Source organism: Homo sapiens, chromosome 5, assembly GCF_000001405.40.
Source record: "Homo sapiens chromosome 5, GRCh38.p14 Primary Assembly".
NCBI classification, from domain to species: Eukaryota; Metazoa; Chordata; class Mammalia; order Primates; family Hominidae; genus Homo; species Homo sapiens.
In genome coordinates, this window is record NC_000005.10 from 142932858 (window position 1) to 142960766 (window position 27909).

General features: G+C 40.1%; 1 protein-coding gene across 39 annotated transcripts in view; it reads left to right on the forward strand.

Moving 5' to 3' along the window:
- Nucleotides 1–27909, forward strand: part of ARHGAP26 (Rho GTPase activating protein 26) — a 458635-nt gene that overhangs the window by 162481 nt on the left and 268245 nt on the right. The gene's annotated exons all lie outside the window — the stretch shown is intronic.

Sequence of the window (27909 nt, forward strand, 5' to 3'; positions counted from 1 at the left end):
CTTACCCTGATGAGGTGGTCTGGCAACATAGATTATGTACCTTTCTACTCAGCCATATTTTATACAAACATGGGACGTAGTCAACTAGGCATAAAGAAATAGCTAGTATTGTATGACATTTAATAATATAGAGCAAGATCTCTTAAAGATTTAAATAACTGATGATTTAGGCACAGTTTGCTAAACTATAATTAAGCATTGTTTAATCTTAATTCTTCTCCTGGGCTAAAATATAAGATAGCTCTGATTATCTCTGTATACGTTGTTACCCATAGGAACCCTCAAAACCAGATACACATTTCTACCTTTGAGGCTTTATGGGCACAATAGCTATTTGATGTCAAAGGCCTTTGAAAGAAGCTTCCTAAGTAGGTCTTTCTTTTTGCTAGCATTATCTACCATTTGTTGAGCACATTTTTACATGTTAGGCACAGGACTGAGCACATTACATCTCTTAACCTGTTTATTTCTCTTAGCACTTAATGAAATAAGTGCTGTGATTCCATTTTATAGATAAGTAAACTGAAGCTTAGGGAGGTTAAGTAACTTGCCCCAAGTAGCACAGATAGTAAATGGCTATATTAGTAGGGTACAGGCTAGGTTGCTATTAACAGAGAGACTCTGAAGTACGGTGGCTTATGTAAGATAGATAAGTGTATTTCTCTCTTAGAGCCGAGAAGGGAGGAGTCCATGCCTAGTAGGGTCATTCTGCTATCCTCAGCCCATGGCTTCCCACATTGCTCCAGTCATTGCCATTTTCCAGCCAGAAAATGAGGATGAAAGCATTTCGAAGGACCCAGAAGATGCACATGTCACTTCCATTGGCTCAAACATAATGGTACAGCCATATCTACCTGCAAAGCAGGCTGGGAAACCTAGGCTGTACATAGGCAGTCATGGGCCCTGCCAGGACCCTGGACATGTTATTACTTCAAAGAAGAAGAGGAGAAAGGATACTGTGAATAGTTGGCAGTCTCCATCCTAGTGGCAAAGCTAGAATTTGACCCATGTCTAATCCTAGACATATTTGGTTTTCATCTTTAATGGAGATAAAATTTAAAATTGCCTTCGAAAAATTCTCAGTTCATTTTTACAGTACTTTCACTCACTCCCTTGAATGATTCTTCAACTCATAGGGGAGGAAGTGCCCAGGAAGAACAATCCTGTATGGGATTCTATTCTTGGTATGGGCAAAAAAAAGCCAAATTACAACAACAAAAAAACCCAAACCCACTACTGTCTCTCCCCCTGCCTCCAATAAGCTGGAGTTCTAAAACTGCCTCACCAATTAATTCCATTTTAAGTCTCCCCATCCTCTCTCCCCACCACTTAGATATTTGTTCTCTGTCTGCGTATAATTGGTCTTCTTACTAACCACTTCAGTTTTCCTGTAGATTAACATCTGGCCTCTGCAGATGGAAAGTGTGCTGTTGAAAGAAACATCTTCTTGCTCCAGAATGTACAAATGAAAACAAGTTTAAACACAAAATAATTTTGTTTCTAAACATGATATAAAATTATTTCCTCACAGGAACATATAGCTTGCACTGAAAACCACACTTCTGTGTGCTTTTTAGTTTCCTAAAGAGAGAGATAAATATAGACAAATGATGTCTGTGTAATTGACAGTAATACTAGGCTTAATTTTGTCTCCCATTGCTGAAAGCCTCTAGGGGACATTACTAGAGATATATGTCCAGTAGACAATTAGCAGCTCCAGCTTTAATCACCATCTCCCTAATGAGTTAAATCTGTCCCCGTGGGAGCTTTGGATTTCTCTAGTTAGCTCTTTCTCTAGTCGGTGTTAGTGTCGTTGCCTTATTTCAGGGAGCTGTTATAGTGGCAACTATTTCCTGTTTTATACTTCTATCTCAGTTGTTCTTTGATGGATTATTTGGTGTTGGTGGATTTTTTTTTTTTTTGGAGGGGGTTAATTTTAGTTTCTGTTCTTTTTGTTCTTTCATTGTCCAATAATACCTTAGGATGGTTGGTTGAAAAACAAAGAAAAACTAAATGAGTCCCAAATCAGTTGATTTTGCAACATTTCATTTTTAAATGTTAAATTTAGTTTTAGCATTAAATCATACTTTTTTAATACACAGTCATATCCTAGTCTAAAGAAATGTTGAATGTCTTTATGGTGTCGATGGACATATAATGGAGGAAGAAATTAGAATTGTCTTCCTACAATAAGCATTATGGATTTTATCTACGTAGTAAATTTGAATTATTTTAATTCAAATGTGGGAAACTCAATTCAAACTTGAAGAAAAGCTGGATTTATTGGGTTACATAACTGAAAAATACTGGAGTCTAATAGTCTGTGGCTCATCCGAATCTGGGAACTTACATAATATTTGGAGTTGGTTTCCTCTTTTGTATTGGCTTCATTTTCCAACACGTTCTTTTCAGAGTGGTGAGATGCTTCCTTACTATTCATTCCAAGCTTACATCTTATTATTAAAAACATGGGTCAGTAACCTTTTTCTGTAATGGGCCAGATAGTATTTCAGGCTTTGTGGGCCATGTGGTCGCGATTGCAGCTACTAACTTTGCTGCTGTGGCTAAAAAGCTGCCATGGACAATATGTAAATGAATAGGTATAGCCTTGCTTCAGTAAAACTTTATTATTTACAAAAACAGATGGCTGGCTTGATTTGGGTCATGGGCCATACATAGTTTGTTGATCCCTGATCTGTAAGTCTAGTGGAAAGAGAGCTTTTATGTAATCATTCCAAGAAAGTTCTTTAATTGGATTTTATTGGACTAACTACTTGGTCCAGAGGCTAGGATGGATGAATTGACCAGAACTTACTCATGTGCCCATTGCACTGGAGCTGTATAAATGATGGCAGAAGGTCATCTTCCTCTGAGAGAAAAAGCATTGTTGTATGAGGGAAGGAGGTAGACACTAGTCAAGAAAAGCAGCACAGTTTCTACTTACTCTCAGATGTATGTTCCTTTAAATTTTATGTTCAGAAAACTTCCTCTTTGAAACTTGGCCAAGGGGGGAAATGCCAAGTTTACCGCTAACATCATAATTAGGGTAAAAGACTGAATGCTTTCCCTCTAAGACTAGGAACAAGTTGAGGGTGTTTGCTGTCACCACTCTTACTCAGCAGAGGACTGGAAGTCCTAGTCAGTGCAGTAGGGCAAGAAATTAATATAACAGGCATACAGAGTGGAAAGAAAGGTATACAACTGCCCCCACTTTCAGATAACACAATTGTCTATGTAGAAAATCCCAAGGAACACACACACACACACACACACACACACACACACACACCCCTTCTATAATTAGTAGGTGAGTTCAGCAAGGTCACAGGATACAAGATAGACATATGCACAAAATCAATCATATTTCTGTAGATTAGCCATAATCATATGGTGATCAAAGTCAAAAGTGTAACACCATTGATAGTCAGTCTCCCCAAAAATGAAGTGACTAGGTATAAATCTAATTAAGCATGTAGAGGGCCTGTGTGTTGGAAATTACAAACTGCTGCTGAAAGAAACTAAAGAGGATCTGAGTAAATGGAGAGACATTAATGGGTTGGAAAAATCAACATAGTAAAGATGTCAATTCTCCCCAAAGTGATTATAGGTTTAATGCAATTCCTATTAGAATCACAGCAAGATTTCTTATAGATACAGACAAGCTTGTTCTAAAATTTATATATAAAGGCACAGAAACCAAAATAGATAAAACAATTTTAAAAAAGAAGAATGAATTGGAAGTAGTCTGTCTACCCTATTTTAAGACTTTCTTTTTAGTGACAGTAATCAAGACTGTGGTATTGACAGAGGGATAGACACGTAGATCAATGGAACAGAATAAAGAACCCAGAAATAGACTCACACAAATATGCCCAATTGATTTTTGACAGAGGTGCAAAAGCAGTTCAATGGAGGAAGGATAGTTTTTTTGAGAAATGGTGCTTTTTAGAACTAAACATCCATAGGAAAAAAAAAAAAAGCCTTGACTTAAACCTCATATCTTATACAAAATTTAATTCAGAATGGATGACAGATCTAAATGTAAAATGTAACACTTGAAAACTTTTAGAAGAATGTGTGGAATCTAGGACTAGATGAAGAGTTTTTAGATGCAATGCGGAAAGCATACACAACCCATAAAATAAAAAATGGATAAAATTTTCTTCATCAAAATTAAACGCTTTTGCTTTGTGTGTGAAAGACCCTGGTAAGAGGATGAAAAGGCAGTCTACAGAATGGTAGAAAATATTTGCAAAAACATATATCCGATAAGGGACTTATTTACATCTAGTTCTTTTTTAGATCTAGGATTAAATAAATAAATAAATAAATAAGAACTCTCAAAACTTAACAGCTAAAGAGAAACAGTCCAATTAGAAAAAGGGCAAAAGACACAAGGAGACATTTTACCAAAGAGAATATGGCGAATAAGCACAGGAAAAGATGTTCAATATCATTAGCCATTAGGGAAATGCAATCTAAAACCACTATGAACTATCACCTTCTAGAATGACTAAAATTAAAAGTAGTGAAAATACTGAATGCCGGCAAGGATGCAGAGAAACTGGATCTTCTGTACACTGCTAGCGGGAATGTAAAATGAAACAGCCATGCTGGCAAGTCACTTGGCAGTTTCTAAAACTAAATATTGCTGTTACTCTATGACACAGCAATTGCTCTGGGGCATTTAATCCAGAGAAATGAAAACTGTTCGCACAAAAACCTGTATGCATAAACCTCCCTCATAGCAGCTTTATTCATAATAGCTTGAAACTGGAAGTACTACAGATGTCCTTTAATGGGTGAATGGTTAAACAAACTGGTACATCCATGCAATAGAATACTGTTTGGCAATGGAAAGAAATGAACTATTGGTACACAACAACCGGGTGCATCTTAGGAGCATTATGCTAAATGAAAAAGGCCAGTCTCAAAAAAAAATATACTTTAATTTTGTAACATTTTTGAAGTGACAGTTTTAGAAATGGAGAATGGAATAGTGATATCCAGGGTATACGGACATTGGAAGTAGGAAGCAACTATAAAGGGGGTAGCACAAGCAAGTCCTTCGTGGTGATGGAATAGTTCTGTGTTTTGATCTTGGTGGTTAGTTATATGAAACCATATTAAAGTAGTTATGAGAAACTGCAGCAAAGTATATGTGTATACTTCTGTACAATCCTACATACACACAGATGAACTCATGTCAAAACTGATGGAGTTTGAACAACGAGTATAGTCTAGTTAACAATATTGTCCTAGTGACAATTTTCTGGTTTTGATGCTATGTTATAGTTTTAAAAGATAGTATCATTGGATTATGGGGGGGGAAGTAGGGCAAAAGAGTCACAGGACACTACTATTTTTATAATAGTATGAAATTATAACTTTAAAAAACAACAAAGTTAGCTATTCAGATAGTCAGATAAAGCTTTGAAATGATTCTGCTGGATTTTTTCACTTTCTGTTAAATCTGGGTTGACAAACAATAGGGTCACTGTTGCAACTCCATAAGCTTTTGTTTTACTTTTGTGTGGCCATTGTCTAAGGCTTGGGAACAGATGACTTTTCATATTAAATTGGACACGGAAACCTTAGTTCAGACTGCATAAATACCACAGCTCAGGAAAATTTTAGAGACAGCAGAGTTTCTTTGGCGAGTTTCCAATAACTAAAGTTGTCTCTCCTTTTCTCATTGCATATTGCTGGTAAGCATGTTTGCTAAAAGAAAGTAGAATAGAATTTCTACCAGCCCATCATCATTGCCAACATATACACACCCAACTTGAAGTATTTAATATCCATCTGCTATGGAAAAGATGGCTCAGGAAGCCAGGGGGACTGAGTGATCCACAGCTTCAGGGCTTGCGTAGCCTCTTAAAACTGCATTTCCATATATCCCCTTAGCTGTGATTAGTGGTGTCTTTCTGCAACTGCTTATATCGCCTCCTTATTTTAGATGTATTAGTCCTCCTTCACATTTCAAGGATTCTTTAGTTAAATAAAATATTTCTCCACTTTGAGCTGGTACTTGAATCTCTTTCGACAGCCACAAGTTTTGAAGGTTGGCAGATGCTAGAATTAGGTGGAATTAGATTAAGAAGGTAAGAAACAGATACTTTAGCATCAACAATTGTGTGTAAGTCTGTGTATTAGGAAATCACCACTCTTGTAGGTCAAAAATAGCCAGATATTGGCAATTTCTTATGGCTCCATTCATAGCTGTGGAGCAGGAAGAAGCAAGCCCACACGTAAGTCAATATCATACCCTTATTTATGGAAGAGGGAACACTGCCTAAAAAAGGCTGGTAATTGGTTGATCTCGGATAGATGATTCAGGTCTCTTAGCTTCCAGTTCTGTGCTATTTTTGCGCAACACACAAAAAATTGCTGCTGAATTGTTAGGAAGTCACAGTTGAATGGTATCAACCTTTACTTTTTAAGTAGAGTTACTCTGCTGTGGCTACTGCAGTGGATGAAGGGAAAAGAAGGAAGAGGCTAAGGAAAAACCACTCCTCTAGTAAAAGACAATGTTACTTCCTTCTGCTCACCTCCATTTTAAAGATATCTTCTGTTTTCGTCTTTGTGGACTTTGGGGCTGAACAAAATGTGTCTTCTCTCACCTTTCTCTACCGTGCCCGAGCTCTAACCCCCTAGTCCTTCTAGAACTCCTGGAATAAATGGGCAATTGCATTGCATATGTTCTGCATCTAATATCTGAAAGAGTGAGCTGTGAAAAGTTTTTAAAGGGAAAAGTAAGATTGATTACTGTTAAGATGAGCTCTCAGGATTAGAAGCAGAATGTTATGGTGGTTAAGAATGTGCACTCACACAGCCCAAGTTTAAATCCTACACCACTGCTTATTGGCAGTCTCAAATTGGAAAATGACAGTCTCTCTGAGCAGGTTTCCTCACCTGCAAATTGTGATAATAATAGCCCCTACCTCATAAGAGTGCTTTGTAAGGATCAACCTATATGTAAATGCCTGTACATGGCAAAGTGATCATTTAAAGCTAGTTCTTACTATTGTCTTTTTGGAGAGGAAGATGGATATTGGGATACCTGGGTTCTATTTCTAGCTCTGTTTTTAAATTACTTGATTCACTTAGCTCAAGTCACCTTGTTCCAGTTCACCAGAGTGCAGGGCAGGGACTGCTTTCAATAGTATGGAAAATGTGATTTCGTTTAGCAGTCAGTGTGAACTTTCAGGATATGACTGGAGGAGCAGGAAGTAATCTTTAGCCTCCTTTGCTATGATGCATCCCAGGCCTAGCAGTTCATAATCCTGCTGTATGCTAACCTCAGCTCACCAGTCTGCGGCTGACACTTGCGTTTTCCTTTCTTTGTTAAAATAAGTGATTGAAAGAGTATGGATAGTTAGGAAGGTATGGGGTGAGCTTGCTAGGCTCTAGTGTGACGATGCAGGCCTCAGTCCTTTCTGAGCTTTCTTTTTATTTATTTAATTTTTTTTAACTTTTAGGTTCAGGGGTACATGTGCAGGTTTGTTATGTAGGTAAACTTGTGTCATGGGGTTTTGTTGTACAGATTATTTTGTCACCCAGGTACTAAGCCTAGTACCCAATAATTACTTTTCCTGATCCTCTCCCTCCTCCCGCCCTCCACTGTCAAGTAGGCTCCAGTATGTCCATGTGTTCTCATTTAGCTCCCACTTATAAGTGAGAATATGGGATATCTGGTTTTCTGTTCCTGTGTTAGTTTGCTAAGGATAATGACCTCTAACTCCATCTGCATTCCCCCAAGGGGCATGATCTTATTCTTTTTTTATGGCTGCATAGTATTCCGTGGTGTATATTTACCATATTTTCTTTATCCAGCCTGCTATTGATGGGCATTTAGGTTGATTCCATGCCTTTGCTATTGTGAATAGTGCTGCAGTGAACATATGCATGTATATGTCTTTATGGTTAAAGAATTTGGCCAGGTGCGGTGGCTCATGCCTGTAATCCCAGCACTTTGGGAAGCCGAGGTGGGCAGATAACGAGGTCAGGAGATCGAGACCATCCTGGCTAACACGGTGAAACCTGGTCTCTGCTAAAGATACAAAAATTAGCTGGGCATGGTGGCGGGTGCCTGTAGTCCCAGCTACTCGGGAGGCTGAGGCAGGAGAATGGCATGAACCCAGGAGGCGGAGCTTGCAGTGAGCCGAGATCATGCCACTGCACTCCAGCCTGGGCGACTGAGAGCGACTCCATCTCAAAAAAAAAAAAAAAAAAAAAAAAAAGAATCTATATTCCATTGGGTATATACCCAATGGGATTGCTAGGTCGAATGGTAGTTCTGTTTTAAGTTCTTTGAGGAATCGCATTACTGCTTTCCACAATGGTTGAACTAATTTACACTCCCATCTGCAGTGTAAATTGTGTTCTCTTTTCTCCACAACCTCACTAGCATCTGTTATTTTTTCACTTTTTAGTAATAGCCATTCTGACTGGTATGAGATGGTATCTCATTGTAGTTTTGATTTGTATTTCTCCAGTGATCAGTGATATTGTGAACTTTCTTTTTAATATCACATACTATGAATGGGTGAAGAGTCTGAAAGTGAAATCCCCAGTGTGGTTTCTGTTTCCCCGTCTCCCATGCTCACCCACCCCTGATGGCTAGGAAATTACATTATATGCTTCATATTATTTTGTTTGCGTGTCTTTTCCTCTAACTGAATCAAGAAGCCAGTTGCAAGCTTCATTTTTGTGTCATGTGAGTGCTTTTATTTAGGTGGACTTCATAATAGGTGCATATGATATCACATCAATGCACTGAAGTCTTACATTTAATAATATTCACTTATGTCCTTGTTCTCTTTGGTTAGATTATTCAGAAGAACAATTTCTCATGAAAATTAGGAAATATTTAATTAACCAACCTGAGTTACAAGGTTGGAGAAAAGAGAAAGAGGTCAGTTAAAATTGTTTTATGTTAGAGAGTTGATGAAATTTTCTAAGAAATGGAAATTTTGATAGCCAGAGAATTTTTGCTTGAACTTTATGACTTATATATGTTGGTGGCACTTACTCAGGTCTTAGACATTCTTCTTTCAACATTGAGCAAATATATTTAGATTGTCCAGCAGTCACTTTGATGGGTAGTAAAGATACTAAGATGAGGATCGGTCACATTAACAGAAATTTCTTTTTTTTTTTGCTGTACTTTCCCCATTGCCCAGCACAGTGGCTGGCAGAGTAAGCATTCAGCAAGTATTTGTTAAACAACTAGAGTCAAAACTAAAGGGAAGGGTGGAGGATGACCAAAATTGTTTCTTAGGGAATTGAGTTGCCTTCGTTATCTGAGACCTGAATTCCTTGATTTTATGGTTTATCTTGACACATATTTACTTACTTGTACCAGAATTTAGCTCAGAGATTACATTTTTTGTGCCATGGATACATTTGGCAATCAGGTAAAGCCTTTAGATACTTTCTCAGAATAATGCTTTTACATGTATAAAATAAAATACATGGTTACAAAAGAAAAAATTATATAGAAATATAGTTATCAAAGTATTAAAACATTTATGATACAATAAACATGAAATAAGATATCTGGGCAGGTGTGATAACTTCTGTAAGTGATATTTTGGGCTGTGTGCCTATACAGTAATGCTACATGGATTTCTGCTGGTGACAAAGTCACAAGTACTACTGTGGTGTGTTGCCTGCATTCATATTTGAAGGAAACAATAAATTTAGAAGTTAATGAAAATAAAAAGGTTTTTTGTTCCCACTCTCTAAGTTCATGGACTCCCTGTATCCTCTCTCTAGACCTCACTTCTTCATTTCTTTGCAAATATATTTAGAGACTTTTCCTATGAAGTGCTTAACTCAGCCAGGAATTATACATTGATTAGTGGGACTATTTGATTAATGTCTGTCTGCCTGCTGGATTGTGATTGTGGTGGGTTTTTGTTGTTGTTGTTGTTTTGGAGACAGAGTCTCACTCTGTTGCCCATGCTGGAGTGCAGTGGTAGGATCTCAGCTCACTACAACCTCTGCCTCCCAGGTTCAAGCAATTTTCCTGCCTCAGCCTCTGAGTAGCTGGTATTACAGGCACGTGCCACCACACCTGGCTAATCTTTTGTATTTTTAGGAGAGACGAGGTTTCAACATGTTGGCCAGGCTGGTCTCAAACTCCTGGCCTCAAGTGATCCACCTGCCTTGGCCTCCCAAAGTTCTGGGATTACAGGCGTGAGCCACTGCACCTGTCCTGGATTGTGATCTTGAAGTGATAGGAACACGTGTGTTGTTTTTTTGTTTGTCTTTGGTGGCTTTGGCTCATAGTATCTGGCACAGAGTAAGTGTTCACTAAATATTTGCCAAATCTTTAGATAAACCTAGGGAATATTAAAGTATGGTTGGCTTGGCATGACTTCCTATCTGAGACTGGTTCCTGAAGATTCCCTGCTGTCTTAATCCATTCAGGCTGCTATCACAAAATACTATAAACTGGGTAGTATAGAAATATGTATTTATTTCTTACATTTTTGGAGTCTGGGAAATCCAAGATCAAGGCACCATCAAATTTGGTGTCTAGTTAGGGCCTATTTTCTGATTCATAGATGGCACCTTTTATCTCTGTCCTCACACAGTAGAAGGGCAGGGCAGCTCTCTGGAGCTTCTTTTATGAGGGCACCCATCCCATTCATGAGGGCTCTGCTGTCATGATGTAATCACCCCATAAGGCCCTACTTTCTGTTATCATCACATTAATTATTAGGTTTGCAACACATGAAATTTTTTGGGGGAAGGCACACACATTTAGACCATAATGCCCACCTACCTTTAAGGATATTTAGAAATCCACTGTTCATTATTCTAACTTCTTTATTAATTTATCAGTTCTAAATATAGCACAAAAGCCCCTTTGATTGTCCTTAGCATTTTTTGCAAGCCTCAGATCATTGTTGATTTTATCTTCATACCACTACCTTTATAGGCTTGAGCACCTCTTATTTTAATTTTGATTACATGTACTTCTTTAATCTTTTGCCATTATTTTTGTTTATATTAGCTTAACCTTTGGGGAATAGGATTAGTTGTGAGACTTTTTGAACCTTCTTAATTTGCTTGAATTTTTCATAATGCACGTTAATTTTGTTATTAAACAAAAATCCTACTGGTGGGGGTTCCTGTGAGTCTCATTTATTCTTTACCCATCTAAAGAATGACTTTTTCTTTGTCATTGGCATTAGTTGCAATTATGTAGTCATGCCTGGGTTTGTAGAGCCTCCTATCCTCAGCTCTAATGTGAGGGAGAAGTCCCTCTCTAGAGTTAAAAGTGTAGTGTGATTCCCTCCAGAGCTTCTCCTGTGTGTTTACTCCTATACCTGCACATCTAGAAATAAACCCTTCTGTTGTGTAGCATTTTTGACATAATAATAGCTTTAGTAATAGATTATTAGGCCTTTAGTCTTTTACATTTAGGTTGTTTTCAGCTTTTGATGACATCATTATGAACAACGGCTTGGAAATCCTTGTATGAACTTCACTGTTTACTGTTTTGAACATTTTTCTAGGATACATATCAAGTGGAATTACTAGGTTGAATGGTATGCATATTTAATATTCCAGTAGATATTGCCAATAGATAGCCCCACAAAAAAGCACCAAATTGTGCTCCTTCCAGTCACTTATGAGGGTGCCCATTTTCTCCACACCTTTGCCACTTCTGCATTTGATGAGCCTGTAGGTGTATTTATATGTGTGTGTATCAACCTGAGAGTGGAAAATTGTATCTTGTTTTCATTTGTGTTTCTCAGATTACTAATGAGATTGACAATCTTTTCTCATGTTTATTGGCCGTTTCTATTTATCCTTTTTTATACAAAAATGTATGTAAGATACTTAGAACAGTGTCTGGCACATGATTCATGCCATGCAAAGTAGTAGTATTCCTTGCTTGAGTTTCTGGCCTTGGGATTATACCCATTGTTTTACTCAGTTCTGCTTCTAAAAGCCCAAGGTACAAACCTAAGTTTCGCTTGTGTTCTTTCCTTAACTGATTAGAATTCTCCTGCTTTATCCTGGCTGGTGTATCCTGTTTTCTAGCAGCGCCGCCCCCTCCCCAACCCCATTGCTCAGATTTGGAGCAGTGAGCAACAGAGGGTGTGGCAGCCAAATGTGCACTCCTTACCTCTCACCTGGGCTGTCCTCATTCACCAGGCTGTGTGATTCGACAGGGAACCCACTGATCCTCTGCATCTCTCTGACAACAGCCAGTAACTTGTTGTATTTCCCCCAGTGCTACCAAGTCCTTTCTAACTCCCGAGTAGAAAGTACCCCATCCCATCTCAAGGAGCCACAGGAGCTACCATGTCTAACCAATGCAAGAGTTCTCAGCTTAGAAAAGCTCCCTGAGGGATATGGGTCTCTGCCTGGCTGACGTGTGTGCTCTTTCAGCCTTTCTACCTGTGCTTCTATCTCAGAGAAGAGATGGAAGATGCCTGCCACTCACTATACCTATTCTATTCTAAAGGGCAGTCTCTGTTCTGCCTGCTCTCTTTTTGTTAACGCTACACACAATTTTATATTTTCTGGAAGTTCCTTCCTCCATTTTTGTGGCCTAGGTTAACTACTGCCCAGTCTTCTCTGAGGAGGTTGGTGTGAGGGAGGCTGCAACGTTGAAGGTTTCTATCGCCAGCTGGTTGCTCATTTGATTCAGAATTAAGGCCAAATTAAGAGTTCTCTATTTTGTTTCCTCCATCTGGAAGATGATATTTTGGCAAGTCAAGAATTTATCAGAGGCTTGGTTGTGTGTGTGTGTTTGCATTAGCTCATTAAAAGTTTTTTTTAAACTTTTTATTTTGAAATAATTTCTGACATAAAAATGTTACAAAAATATTACAAAGAATTCCAGAATACTTTCCACCCAGATAACCTAAATGTTAGTGTCTTACATAACACAGTACAATGATCAGACCTGGAAATTAACACTGATACAATATTATTATCTATTTTACAAGTCTTAAATTTTGCCAGTTATCTCACTAATATATATATTTTTCTGGTCCAGTGTCTTTTATCCCAGATCACATATTGCAATTAGTTGTCACATCTCCTCAGTCTCATTTAACCTGGAACAGTTAGAGGCTTGGCTTTTTAAAGGAACATCACCACTAGCTGATGTCCAGATAGTTGAACATCAGGAGAGCATCCTATCTCTGTTCCCATCTTGCAGTGTATCTGGGAACTGTTGTCACTATCCTCCCTTCATCTAGGTAATAATTCATACATTTCCATAATCAAACCACTTAAGTTTCTCTCTCTGCATCTTCTAAAGCCTCTCTGACATATATTCAATCTCAGTTTTGTAGATTTCCTTGTAATACATCTATTGCTTTTGAACATTGTATCTTCTACCCTATCTACTCACATCATATATTCTTCCTTATACAGTTTGTTATCTGTATTGTAGTTGTTGGTTTAAAGACATTTGAGGCCATAATATGATCTTACTAGACATTCCGAGCTGTGACCTCTCACCTCCAGCAACAGCACCAGTTACATTGACCCTCTTTCAGATATTGGGCAGTGATTTGTGGGAGTGGAGATTATGGTTGGATTAGCTTCAATTTTTTTTTTCTTTGTGGGAAATGCAATTTGCAAAAGAAAGTTCTTATAAGAGTGAGACTTTGTTCATTTGAAGAATGATGGAGCTGGCTTTTCTGTCAATTTCTGCAGCTTTTTCTTATTCTCCAAAAACCAGAAAGTGGTAATATTTGTTAGTGATCAAATCAAAGATGATATTTAAAAACACATGTTGACAGGAGGACCTAGAGGCATTATGAGTATTAGAAAGTCTGCAAATTAGGTTGTTTGCTTTGTGGTGAGGTGTGAAACAGGATATGCATTTTTGAAAATGTATCTTTGGATTTGCTGAACTGGGCTCAAATGTGGTCAAATTGAGAGAGCTTATGATGCCAGTTTTACTGCATTCTTTTTAGTTGTGTTCCCCAAAATCCTGCCCCATGACCTTTACCAGAACAAGTAAACACATCCTAAAAACAAAGTTATGTTCTAGTATGGTTTTAAAAGTCTTCCCTTTTGGTTATTTGGAAAATAGTGCAAACGTGCGGTCTAGTGGTTATGGCCAAAGGCAGAGCAAAGGGAGTGCGGCCTTAGCCAGCCCCAGCCAGCTGCCATTGCTCCCACGCTCTGTGTGGTCTTGACCCAATGCCCAGAAAAGCAAGGTTCCCCACTTTCTACCTCTTTATTTTTAAAAGTAAAAAAAAAAAAAAAAAAAAAAAAGAGAGAGAGAGAGATGGGGTGGAGGGAGAAACTGAGCTGAGAGACCTCTCAGGTTAGAAATATGTCCTCTTGCAATTAACCATTGCTAGTTAGTTTTCACTATAAATCTAAAGAGAGCTTTATCTCAGCCAAACTAAGGAAATCATCAACATTCTTGGGGTAAATTGATGTGGACTTTTTGTTTGTTCATTTGGAGGGAGGGAGGGATGGTGGTGCTGCTGCCTAGCATTGAATATACTGGAGTACTTCTTAACTTAATCTCTTCTTATTACTACTTTGCTGAGATGAATGTCATCTTTCTCCTACAGTAGTTGTTGGCTATGCAAGGCATTTTGGATGGATACCAATACCCTTCTTTGGCAATTTCTCTGCCTAGTTCTTACCTCTGTGTGTTGTCATGCCAGGGAGATGTTGACCTGCTGAGGGCAGGGATTGATCCTGTCTGTTATAACCTTAAAATTTTTGTTAGGGTGCTTAGTAGAGTGCTGTGAAACATAATAAGCACCTATTACTCACTGAATTAACTTGGAGGCAATAAATTGAGTGGTTTTCTGTTAACTAGTCTATACTCAAGTTGATTTGTTGAATGTCTTGGGTTTTGTTCATTATTGGGCCACTCTGAATGGAAATCCATGAAGGCGAGGATCTTGACTTTCTTGTTCTTCACTATAATCCCAGAACCTAGAACAGCCCCTGGCCAAGATCGTTGAGTATACTGATTGAGAATCCATGTTCAATAAATATTTATTATTAAACTAGGTGCAGTGGTGTACGCCTGGAATCCCAGCTGCTCGGGAGTGTGAAGCGGGTGGATCACTTGAGCCCAGGAGTTTGAGGCTATAGTGTGCTGTGATTGCACCTGTGAATGGCCACTGCACTCCAGCCTGGGCAACATAATCATACCTTGTGTCTTAAACAAAACATTTTTTTTTGAATGAATGGATTTAAAAAAGAGAACCCAAGAGCATGTTTCCCTTTTCAGACGCGGGCTTTGATGCGGCACTTTAGACGTGGCACTTTCAAGCGATTCAGGATGCCTTTTCCTTTTCTTAGTAATTTTTAGTATATGGCAGAAACCATATACTAAATGTCACACCAGAGAAAGTCTCAGGTCAGAAGGCTTATTAGAGCCCAGGGATCAGGAATTGGTTGGGAAGTTTGTAACACTGTCTCTAGCACCAGCAGTAAAATTAGGATGGGTGTGCATGTGTGTATATATGAATATGTGTGCATATGTGAATATGTATATATATATGAGTATATATGACTATACGTACTTGTGTGTATTAAATATATATATATATAATATGTATTTTAATTTCTTGCCATCTGCTGGCTTTCTTTGAATTTATGAAAAATATATAATTGTGCCCAGAGCTCTGGTTCCTGGTGGTTGTGTTGCCATGTTGTAAAAGCAAGTGTGACCACCAGCATCCCTGTGGCCATGCTGAAGAAGCTACTTATTGATAGTTAACAATTGATTTTAGTCAGCCTTCCATTTCCTGAGACAATTCCTATACTTTCCTTAGCTCTTTTTTTTTTTTAAGAACATTAAAAACAGAGGTTAGAAGGGGATATAAAGCAAGAAAACAAAATAATAATACTTTAAAAATCTTAGGACTTAAAATTGGAGGGAAACATGATTCTGAAATTCAGGCCAGTTTTATTAATTTTGTGTCCATATGGTAAGAGTACATTAAACAGGTCGGGTACGGTGACTCATGCCTATAATCATAGCACTATGGGAGGCCTAGGCGGATGGATCACCTGAGGTCAGGAGTTTGAGACCAGCCTGGACAACATGGTGAAATCCCATCTCTACTAAAAATACAAAAATTAGCCAGGCATGGTGGCGGGTGCCTGTAATCCTAGCTACTTGGGAGACTGAGGCAGGAGAATCGCTTGAACCTGGGGGGCGGAGGTTGCAGTGAGCCAAGACTGCAGCACTTCACTCCAGCCTGGGTGAAAGAGTGAGACTCCGTCTCAAAAAAAAAAAATTGAAGAAAGCACAGAAATGTCCTGCTGAAGTTTTATAGTTGAATTTCCAGAGAGAGAGAGAGAGAGAGAGAGAGAGAGAGAGAGAGAGAGAGAGAGAGAGAGAGGAGAGAGAGAGGAGAGAGAGAGAGAGAGAGAGAGAGTTGAGAATAGTAGCGAGCACTACCGTCCAGTTTTTGTTGCAAAGGATTCAGAGGCCAAGTGATGAATATGTTCCTCTCTATGAACAGGCTCAGGACCCGAGCCATATCACTCACCAGTTCCAGTAAGCCTTCATTTTTGCCACCGTCATCTCTCTAACCCTAAAATCCAGTCATTATGAGTATTGTCCTTTTGCTATTCTTTGGTTGGGGCCAATATTAATGCATCAGAATCAGTGTTTGGAAGTTCAGATCAATTTTACCCAGAAGGTAGGCTGTTTCCTTGGATAGGTATCAGTATTTTTTCTTTGGCTCAAGACTTTTCAGTACAATGTTCTAAACTCCAGCTACCATGTAGTTGACTTTGTCTATTTATTCATCAGAATCAAAGGAGGATTGGTACAAGCAGAGGAAATAGACACAAAGAGCAAGTATGAGGGGCAGAGTGGGAGGGAGGTAGCTGGAATGTGAATGAGCCAACTAATTTGGTGAGCAGGGCTTCTCACTCTAGGATCCATGGATCAATATGGACAGGGGCATAGTGGTCATGTCTGTGAACCCTCTGCAGTGACATACAGGGTGTTGGCATATGGACTTGCTAAGGAGAAAAGTTCATAGCATTTATTAATTTGTCAAAGGGCCCTGTGGCCTACTGCCAATAAATGAAAACTATTGACCAGGTCATTTCATGAGAATAAGTATTTGGAGGAGGTTGCTTTGTTCTTAATATCCAGAAAAGTAATGGCACATTATCTCTCCTGGGCCCACTTGTGAGCTGAAGAGGGCCTTGGAAGGTCTCAGCTGAGTGCATCTTTCTGATGTCTGCCTGCATTTTGATCTTGCCCAGAGATAAAATACAACCTTGTTTCTTTCACAGATGAGTTTATAGAGAGAACAAACTTTTAGGTATGGGTAGGGTGTGTGTGTCTGTGTGTGTAGTGGAGGAGTGAATGGGGAGGGGCAGGACAGGCAGAAAGCTGAAGGCGGAGAGAGAGGGAACCCACATGCATTTGAGGGATGTCTTCAGTCTCATCATGGGGTTTCCATGTTGGATTAAAACTGATTATATTTACTTCATTTTGATTAGTGTATATACTTTCCTTTTTGTGACTGCAACAATTAACAGTTAAACTAGTGGTGGGATTTTTTTTTTTTAAGTTTTTGGGATAGGTTCTAAAAGTTGTACTTGCAAGAAAGAGAAGTAGTATCAATGCTGCATGTTCTTTTTCCTAAACAACTCTATTCATTTCTTTTTCTATTCCTGGTTCACACAAGAAATCCTTAAGGTGATCCTTTTTTTGCTGCATTTATTTTTTGTTTGGTTCCACTATTGTTATCAGAATGTCATGTTTCCTACAGCGACACCCAATTTGAGTTATTGACCCAGAAAGTCAACCTCAAGGTCATAAGAAGTTCTGTGCATCTGCCCTTGTTTTAAACTTATCTTAGGCTGAATTATGATGGATACCTATTTAGATTAGAGAGGGCCCCTCCCAAGTAAATACACAACACAAAGATGACTATATGAGTTATAGAAATAAAGAAAACTGTTCAGGAATGTGGAATGGGTCCCATGGAAGGCTAGCATCTGTCAAGAGAGCCCATCTTGCTTGCAAACCAAGTTACTCCTGTGGTGTGTTTCCTGTGAAGTAGATTCTAGGTTGGTAGATCTTTGAGAAGTGAGAATAAGACCTTTCCCTTTCCCTTTCCCTTCCTCTTTCCCTTTCCCTTCCTCTTTCCCTTTCTCTTTCCCTTTCCCTTTCCCTTTCTCTTTCCCTTTCCCTTTCCCTTCCCCTTCCCCTTCCCCCTCCCCTTCCCTTTCCGAGACAGAGTCTCACTTTGTAGCCCAGGCTGGAGTGCAGTGGTGCGATCTCAGCTCACTGCAACCTCCACCTCCCAGGTTCAAGCGATTCTCCTGCTTCAGCCTCCTGAGCAGCTGAGATTACAGGCATGTACCACCACGCCCAGCAAATTTTTGTGTTTTCAGTAGGGATAGGGTTTCACCATGTTGGCCAGGCTGATCTCCAACTTCTGACCTCAAGTGATCCGCCCGCCTCGACCTCCCAAAGTGCTGGGATTACAGGCATGAGCCACCATACCTGGCCAGACCTTTTCTTAAAATGGTAGTTGTTTTAGGGACCTTTAAGGAAGGCTGGAAATGTAAAAAGAGAAAAGAGGAAGCACCAATATTTATTGCTTATTTAGGCCCTGGTGCCTCTGTGTATTATTTGGAGTAGCAGAAGGAGGATCAGTCTGGGATTTGGGCTGGGGTCTAATCTAGTCAGACTTTAGGCCAGTTAGCTAACTTTCAGGGCTTGATTACTGTCAGGGTGGTAGTATGTCCGTCTTGAGGATCTTATCATCCTTTAAGGGTCCTTCCAGCTCTGAGATGTGAGTCCAGATCTTCTGACTAAATAATCAGCCACAACCTGGCCACTCAGAGTAGAGGAGGGCCCTATCTTAGGGAGTCCCCAGGCTGCTGTGGCTGTTCATTCAGAAAGCTTTTCTGCACCTTCCAGATGGGAGGTGAACAGACCACGAGCGGAATACCTGAGTTGGAGGTATGGCATGTGGATTAGTTTCCTAGAGTTACCATCACAACTTCCACCAACTGGGTGGGTTACAATAACAGAAATGTATTCTCTCAGTATTGGAGGCCAGAAGTCCTGAACCAAGGTGTTGGCAGGGCCATGTTCCCTCCAGGGAAGAATCCTTCCTCACCTCTTCCAGTTTCTGGTTGCTCCATGCATCCCTTGGCTTGTGGCTGTGTCATTTCAGTTTCTGCCTCTATCTTCATGTGACCACTTCTCTTTCGCTGCTCTTCTGTCTCTAGTAAGGACATTTGCCATTGGATTTATGGCCCACTCAGGTAATTCAGGATTATCTTACCTCCAGATCCTTAATTACACTTTTTTTTCCAAATAAGGTCACATTCACAGATTCTGGGGGTGAGGACATGGACCTGTCCTTTTGTGGGCCACCATTCGACCCACTAGAGCAAGGGACTTTTCTTTCTTGGTCTCTGCATTTTATGGGTGTCATATGCCATCTTTGCTGCCAACATTCGGCAGTGCAGTGAAAGATGCCTCTAACTGGGGAGGTTTCTCTTCTGGGAGTGTTGTTTTATTTCTTTTTCTGTTGTCTGAGTCAGAGGTACTCTCATCTGTTTTGGTGTTTGCCTAGAGATGACTTTCTCATTCCCCCTCAACATCCTATGTACCGTAGTGTGTCTGCAAACAGAGGAAAGCCTTGATACCTTGGTGGAGGTGATAGGGTGGAGTGCTGGGGCACTGGTGATAGAAGAGTGCAAAGTTATTTTTAAAAAATGGACCTGACAGTTCTGTGGACCATTTTTTCAGCTATTCAAAGGTACTTATATTTACTCTTTGGGAGATCAGTCATCCCATTACCACTGGCAATTGGGTGTTACTGTATATATTTTTTAGCATCCCAGCTAAAAAATCTTTTCTTTTTTGACAGAGTCTCGCTCTATCACCCAGGCTGGAGTGCAGTGGTGCCATCTCGGCTCACTGCAACCTCCGCCTCCCGGGTTCAAGCAATTCTCTGCCTCAGCCTCCTGAGTAGCTGGGATTACAGGCACCCTCCACTACACCTGGCTAATTTTTTTGTATTTTTAGTAGAGATGGGGTTTCACCATCTTGGCCAGGATGGTCTTGAACTCCTGACCTTGTGATCCTCCCACCTTGGCCTCCCAAAGTGCTGGGATTACAGGCATGAGTCACAGCACCCGGCCCCAACTGTGCTTTTTTGTGTTAAGATGATTGTAGCCACAATGTCATGGAGAGGATATAACTTATAACACCTTGCACTAGCTAGTCCATGTAAGTTGTTCTGTGGTTTAGCTTGACAAAATGAACGCCCACACCAACCAGGATTGTCCTCACTGGATTCCCACTACCGCTCTCATTCTTGACATACAAGGGAAGGTGAGCTGCTCTTCAAAATTTTGAGCCTCTGAAATTTAATTCAGTGAATATTTATTGGGTATAAACTCTGTACCAGCCACTCTATAGGTGCTGAGAGAGTCAACAAGCAAACAGATTGGTCACCTGCACTTATGCCGTAAATAGTTCCCTTTTTCCTTCTCGTGTACCTTTTTCTAGCCCTGTACGGTGCAGTGGTTAGTTATCTTAAACTGAAAAACTTTTCATTTTTAAAACTTTCATGCAAAAAGTCTTTGAGCACTAGATATATACAGATGTGGTCCATCGTAGCTGGAGTCCATTTCTCCTGGGTTTGTAGCTTTCAACAGTCTAGTTCAAGCACCTGCTTGTTTCACCACCTTCTTCCTTTCTAATAGGCTCTTCAAGTCCTGACCCTGGAGAACACTGCCTGTTACGCTGGTTCACTATTTTGGGACTTGCCAAAATTAAGGCAGCCTGTCCTGTATGGACAAGACTGTCCTTTTATTCTTTTTTAATTTAGTGAGGTAAAACTTATGGAGTGCCAACTGACAAGAGACCAACCAAAAGAATTTTACCGTGTCCCCTGTTTTCTTTTAGATGTAGTGACTTGGTATTACCTCTGCCTGAAGGTAGGTCTCTCCACCATCTGCCTGAGATAGGGGCACAGAGCTGTCTCAGTTTGGCACTAAAGAGGACTTCCCACAGAACCTTGGTTGACATCGTCCATTTGGGGTGGGGTGCTAGAACCACACTCTTCAGACTTGGGTCTCTGTTGGTATCTGATCATAATTTTCTTGTCTCCTTTGGACCACCAAGGGACAAGTTTCCCCATTTTAAAATACATGATATATGGCACGCAAGTATGCTGTCTGAGCAAAGGCGTTTTTAAGCGAGAGCTGTACAAATATTATGCGTTCTAACCCCACAGCCCATCTCTGGGAAGGGGCACCCAGACTTTGGGGGCTGTTGTTAAATACCACTAGGCAATCATCAAGATCTGTTTATCTCATTCTTTCCATGAAATATAAGAATGTTAGGCCCCATATATGGGATTTTCCTGAGAATTTTTTGTAATGTTCACTCAATGCAGAGCCCACATCAGGTTATGCTTGCTTTCTCTGCTCCCGTGGTCAGAATTTTATCTGAGCCTACATCTACCCCTTTGGCTTCTCGTAGAGTCCCTTTATTCTTATAATTGAAAATTCCCAAGGCTACCTGTACTCTGTGTTATAAATAAATATGGTTTCTAACAAGTTGATGAATTACACTTCCCACGCAACCTCAACTCTTCTGGAGTCATTCAGTTGGTCCTGTTTTCTCTCCAGCTTTGTTTTCTGTGTCTCTTAAGAACACTCAGGTTCCTTGTTAGTCCACACTCCCTGGCTTCTCATCCAGCATCTCTACACCCTCCCCTCTGGGGATCTTGCCAGTTCCCTCACCCAGATCAGTAACATTTTCAGGTGGCATATTATCTGGCACACAGTAGCATGCAGTACATGTTGTATAAGCATATGAAACTTGACTAGTGTCCAGTGGTGATATGACGTCAACTCAGATGTGTTTCAGGTGTTCTGATGCCCAGCTGACTAGATCTAGCCCTTTGTCCTTATGGAGACACTGCAGTATCTGTCTAAGGGTTTTTCTTTGTTTAGGAATGTGCAGTATACCTTTTACTGAGATATTTGGTGTAGGGCCAGTTCCTGCACTGCTTAAATGTCATTAATTCAAAGGTTTATCATCAATTTAATAATCACTTTTGAGGAGCAAGAGGGAAACATCTCATTAAAGATAAAGAAGGATTATAAAATGCATTCTGGGCTGGGTTCAGTGGCTCACGCCTGTAATCCCAACAGTTTGGGAGGCTGAGGCAGGAGGATCACTTGAGCCCAGCAGTTCAACATAGTGAGACCTGTCTACACACACACACACACACACACACACACACCCCCCATCTCTGCACACACACACATACAAGTTTGGTGTGTTGGCATGTGCCTTACTCTCAGCTACTCCAGAGGCTGAGGTGGGAGGATTGCTTGAGTTCGAGAGGTTGAGGCTGCAGGGGGCCATGATCATTACCACTGCTCTCCAGACTGGGCGACAGAGTGAGACCCTGTCTCAAAAAAAAAATTTTTTTTTAAAGCCCCACAAAACAAAACAAAGAAGATGCATTCTGATTGCAGAAAAAGAGGTGTTTGAGAAACGAGGAAATATGGTACATAGAAATTCCTGGTGATGTGCTGTGATGGGCCTAGAGGACTGAATAGGAAAATTATGTACACAGGAAGTTTTTGATAGGAATGGTATTATCAGAGACCCCTTCAAAAATCCAGTGAATACTGTGGACTCTCTAAGAAATTTGGCACAACACTTATGGGGATTTATGGATCCTCTGAATCTACCCATATCACAAACCTCCCGCCTCAATCATTGTAGAAGAGCATGTCCTTATTTGACACTGTTGGAAAGCTCTCCAAGAAATGACTGAGGAAGAAATTTGTGCTGTTTTCTATCAGGAACCTTGTTTAGATTATTAATACCAAAAAGTTATTTAGGCCTTTAATAGGGAAAATGGAAATAGACAAATGATCGGTTCCAGATGTTAGTCTTGTTGTGGCCTCTTTGGCCAGGGTGCATCTCATGCTGTCTCCATGCATCTCATGCTGTCTCCATGTTGCACTCTCAGAGTGAATCCTTGTGAAGCTTTATGCTTACTTGGCTTTACTCCCTCAGAATGCCAGAATCTTGGCTGCAGCAGTGAGTGGAGTCCAGCCAGCCTGGTATTTCTTTAGAACAATCTCTGGAGGGCTTCTTTTACTTGGGACTCTTAAAGACAACAGGGAATTATCTGAGAATATTCAAAGCCATATTGTGTAATGAAACCAGGCATTGGTATTAAGCATAATTGTGGGCCAAGGCATCCTTGTTTATCTATGTTTTCATTATCTGAGTCCCTGAAGTTATGATTAATCAAAAATATTAACTGATGACTGATCACTAATAAAATTAATCACAGCTCAAATAGCCCTCCCTGCTTGATACTTTGATTTATTTTAGGACATCTTGTCTGTGTCCTGGTCTGTCTCTGAATGACAGATAAATAATCAGAAGCATGCCAGGCACAGTGGCTCATGCCTGTAATCCCAGCACTTTGTGAGGCTGAGATGGGAGGATCACTTGAGCCCAGAAATTCAAGACCAGACTGGACAACACAGCAAGAACTGGTCTCTACTAAAAATTTTAAAAATTAGCCAAGTGTGGTGGTCCATGCCTGTAGTCCCAGCTACTCGGGAAGCTGAGGCGGGAGGATTGCTTGAACCCAGGAGTTCGAGGCTGCAGCGAGCTATGATTGCACCACTCCATTCCAGCCTGGGTGACAGAGAGCCTGTCTCAAACAAAACAAAACAAAATAAAAAAGCAGGGCAAACAGAAATTGTAAATCATTCAAGACATCTGTGACTTTATGAAGTCTATGAACATGGTATTGGAGACTTGTATTAGTCCATTTTTACACTGCTGATAAAGACATAGTTGAGACTGGGCAATTTACAAAAGAAAGAGGTTTAATTGGATTTACAGTTCCACTTGGCTGGGGAAGGCCTCACAATTATGGCGGAGGGTGAAAGGCACTTCTTACATGGTGGTGGCAAGAGAGAATGAGGAGGAAGCAAACGCAGAAACCCCTGATAAACCCATCAGATCTCATGAGACTTACTATCATAAGAATAAGATGGGAAATACCGGCCCTCGTGATTCAATTATCTCCCCCTGGGTCCCTCCCACAACACGTGAGAATTTTGGGACATACAATTCAAGTTGAGATTTGGGTGGAGATACAGCCAAACCATATCAAGACCTCTTGAATTGTGTACGTTGTCATAGACAAAGGAGGAGCTGGCATATTAGAACACTTAATGAAGAGAAAACACAGGAGTTGATGACTTGATGGGCACTTGAAAAGAGTGATTTGAATCAAAAGAATGAGGATGGATTTGGGGAAAATTGATGAGGCTCTCAATTGCTTTTGCAAGAATGATAATCTTTTTGATAGTGCTGTAATAAAGCCAAACTTAAAGGCTATCTTACAGCATTATCATAAAATCTTGTAGAAAAAATTGTATCTCTCATCAGCACTTAGTCTTTGTGATTTCGTACACAGTTGAAATAAGAACATAAATCTTACGTAAATATAAGGTTACCTTATTTTGATTATTATGTTATTTTTCAAAATAAAGTTCCATTTAGCTCTCTGCCTTCCCTCCAAGACCATCATTGGACCATAAGATATTGGTCCTCATGTTAGGGGATTCACTTTGTGGCTCGTCTTTGTACCATTGGTAATAAGACCTTCCTTCCTATACACTACATGTGCATAATAGACAGTAGGTTTGATACAGATTTCTAGATCCTCCTCCCTATGGAGAGTCTCTTACGTAGTTTGATCTAGATTTCCATGCTGCACTGTTTTTATTCTCTGCTACCGTGTGCCAGGAAGCCTCTTCTCGCATTGCAGTGCACACTGCTTTTTATAGAAAGTGCTCCTGCACTCTCTGCCATGACCCAGAGTTCAGCTTAAGTACAGAGAATTTAGCAGTTGAATGGCAAGGAAAACTTCTGCCTATCAAAACACTGCAAACAGCGCTCTCTCTTTTTCTCTCTTACCCCTTCCAGTTCTTCCCACTTTCACGCATTGCGTTTTGCACATGCTCAGGTTCTCAATCTGCAAACGTACTTGAACTGGGCATAAGCCTTTGAGAGATGCTGCAGATAGTTTTTCTAGAGAGATTTTTGTTTCATAATGTTTCAGTTAAGAATGGCATGCAACTTTAACATAACTTGAACACATTTGAAATAACATTTGAAAAAACTGAAAGGACAGATATGAAAAATTTGAACAGAGGCCCCCAAACCTATATGGTCATTTTTGTCAGGGAGCATTTTTTGGGCTTTAAGTCATGTGTTTAGATAAACCATTTCCCTTCCCCCCATTTCTCCTCCCCCTGGTTTGGCACCCAGATTGTGTTTTAAACAAGTTTTAGGATTATGTTAACTCAGCTTTTATGCAAAGATGATCTATGTAAAATGCCTAAATATTTAGTTAATTTCAAGATCGAAAAGCCTCTGAGGTGGTATTGTAACCAGAGCTAAAGATAAATGCACCAATCATATGTTGAATATATTTAAGATTAGTATAAGCAGATTCTGGCCAGGCATAGTGGCTCATGCTTGTAATCCTGACACTTTGGGAGGCCAAGGCAGGGGGATTGCTTGAGTCTTGGAGTTTGAGACCAGCCTGGGCAACATAAGTAGACCCCGTCTTTACAAAATATAAAACAAATTAGCTGGTTGTGGTGGCATGTGCCTGTAGTGCTAGCTACTTGGGAGGCTGAAGCAGGAGATGGCTTGAGCCCAGGAGGTTGAGGCTACAGTGAACTGTGATCGCACCACTGCACTCCAGCCTGAGCTACAGAGCAAGACCCTGTCTTGAAAAACAAAACAGTATAAGTAGATTCCTTTTTCAGCAGCCTTCCTTAACTATTGTGACCTTGAGATACAGGTATGCTAATTAGCTGGGAAAAATGAGTGTCATTAGCAAATTCAACATAGGCCGGGTGCAGTGGCTCATACCTATAATCCCAGAGCTTTGGGAGGCCAGGGCCAGAGGATCACTTGAAGCCAGGAGTTTGAGACCAGCTTGGATGACACAGTGAGACGCTGTCTCTTAAAAAAAAAAAAAAAGAAAAAAAAAAAGAAAGGAAAATATATAGAGGAAAATGTGCATATTTGTTTTTAGTTGTTTTCTAATGTAATAAGGAATTATTAAACTTAGAGACTATCAGAGCTTGAGAAGACCTTAATAGTCATTTTGAGCACTTCTCTCATTTATAGAAAAAAGGCCCAGAGAAAGAAAATTCATTTTTGTGAGTCACACAAGTGGCTGGTAGCACAGTCTGAACCCAGAGCTGCTGGCCCTTAATTTTATGCTCCATTATGTCATGCTATTATGTGGACATTTGTACAGATGATAGAACAAAAGCACATTCATTTATTTTATCATTCTTTGTCAAACTTACTAGACACTCACTTCACCAAGTATATTAGTTTTCTGTCAGTGTAACCAGCCACCACAAAATGATTAGCTTAAAACAACCTCCATTTATGAGCTCATAGTTCTGAAGCTCAGAAATCTGGCATGCTGTGTGTGTGTCCTCTGCTCAGGCTAGAAATCAAGGTGTTGGTTAGCTGTGCTTTCACCTGGACTTGGGGCCCTTTTCCAAACACATGCCTGTGATTGGCAGATTGGGTTTCTTGTGGTTGTAGGACTTGAGTCCACAGATCCTTGCTGGCTGTCAGCCAGGACCCCCTCCCAGCCTCTGGAGGCAGCGCCATGTTCCTCCTCTTGAGGCTCCTCCATGTTCAAGCCAAGGCCAGCATGTTGAATCCACCCTATGCTTCACATCACTCTGACTTCTTTTGCTACCAGCCAGAGAAAACTTCCTGCTTTTAAAGAGCTCATGTGATTCAATTAAGCCCATCTGGATATCTCTGTATTTTAAGGTCTACTGACTTGGGACTTTAATTGTATCTGCAAAACCCCTTCACAGTAGTACCTAGATTAGTGTTTGATTGAATAACCACAGGAGGGAAACCTCAGGGGAGCTATTTTTAGAATTCTGCCAGCCACATCTGACAAGTCTGGTGGCCAAACTTTGGACAAACCCTACCATGTGTGACACTGTTGTGAACCTGGAAATAAAGGTGGGAAAAGGCAACTATATGGGATTGGTCTGTTTTTGTATTCCAAGGGCCCAGTAATAGAAATGGCCTCTAGGCAGCAATGACTATCACAAACCCCATGTGCTTGGTTGAATAGAAAAGACAGAGTCATGGCCTCATGGCCATAGCTGAAGCTGTCTCATCCAAGTAAGACAGCTAGGACAACCTGATACAGCAAGAAGTGTTTGCTGGTAGCAGCAGCAGAAGAAAGTATACTATAAAAGCACAGTGATCTGGGTTTACATACTTCTGTCCTTCCCCTGATGACAGAGCACCAAATAGTAATCATGAGCCTAAATTGACAAAAGAAGTTAAGTTCTATGTACTCAGTCTAAGAGCAGAAAATCTATAAGCAGTTCTCTCTCATCGATGGATTCACTTTCCATAGTTACCTATTAAATTAGCTGCAGTTCACTGCAGTCCCAAAATATTAAATGAAAAATTCCAGAAATAAACAATTCATAAGTTTTTAATTGCACATCATTCTGAGTAGCATGATGAAATCGCCCAGAGCGTGAATCATCCCTTTGTCCAGTGCTGTCTATCCATTAGTCACCTAGTAGCCATCTAGGTTATCAGATCAAACAGCAGATACAGGGTTTAGTACTATCTGAGGTTTCAGGCATCTACTGGCGTCTTGGGAGGTGTCTCTTGTTATGAGGGGAGACTACTGTAATGTGAAAGAAACTCCCATTGAAAAATGGTTTAAAGTTTAGTACCTAAAAAGGCTAAGCTTAATTTATTGAGAAAAGTAGTTCACTTTAGTGGAACCCCAGTGGCTTCTCATTACCTTGAATAAATCCCAGACC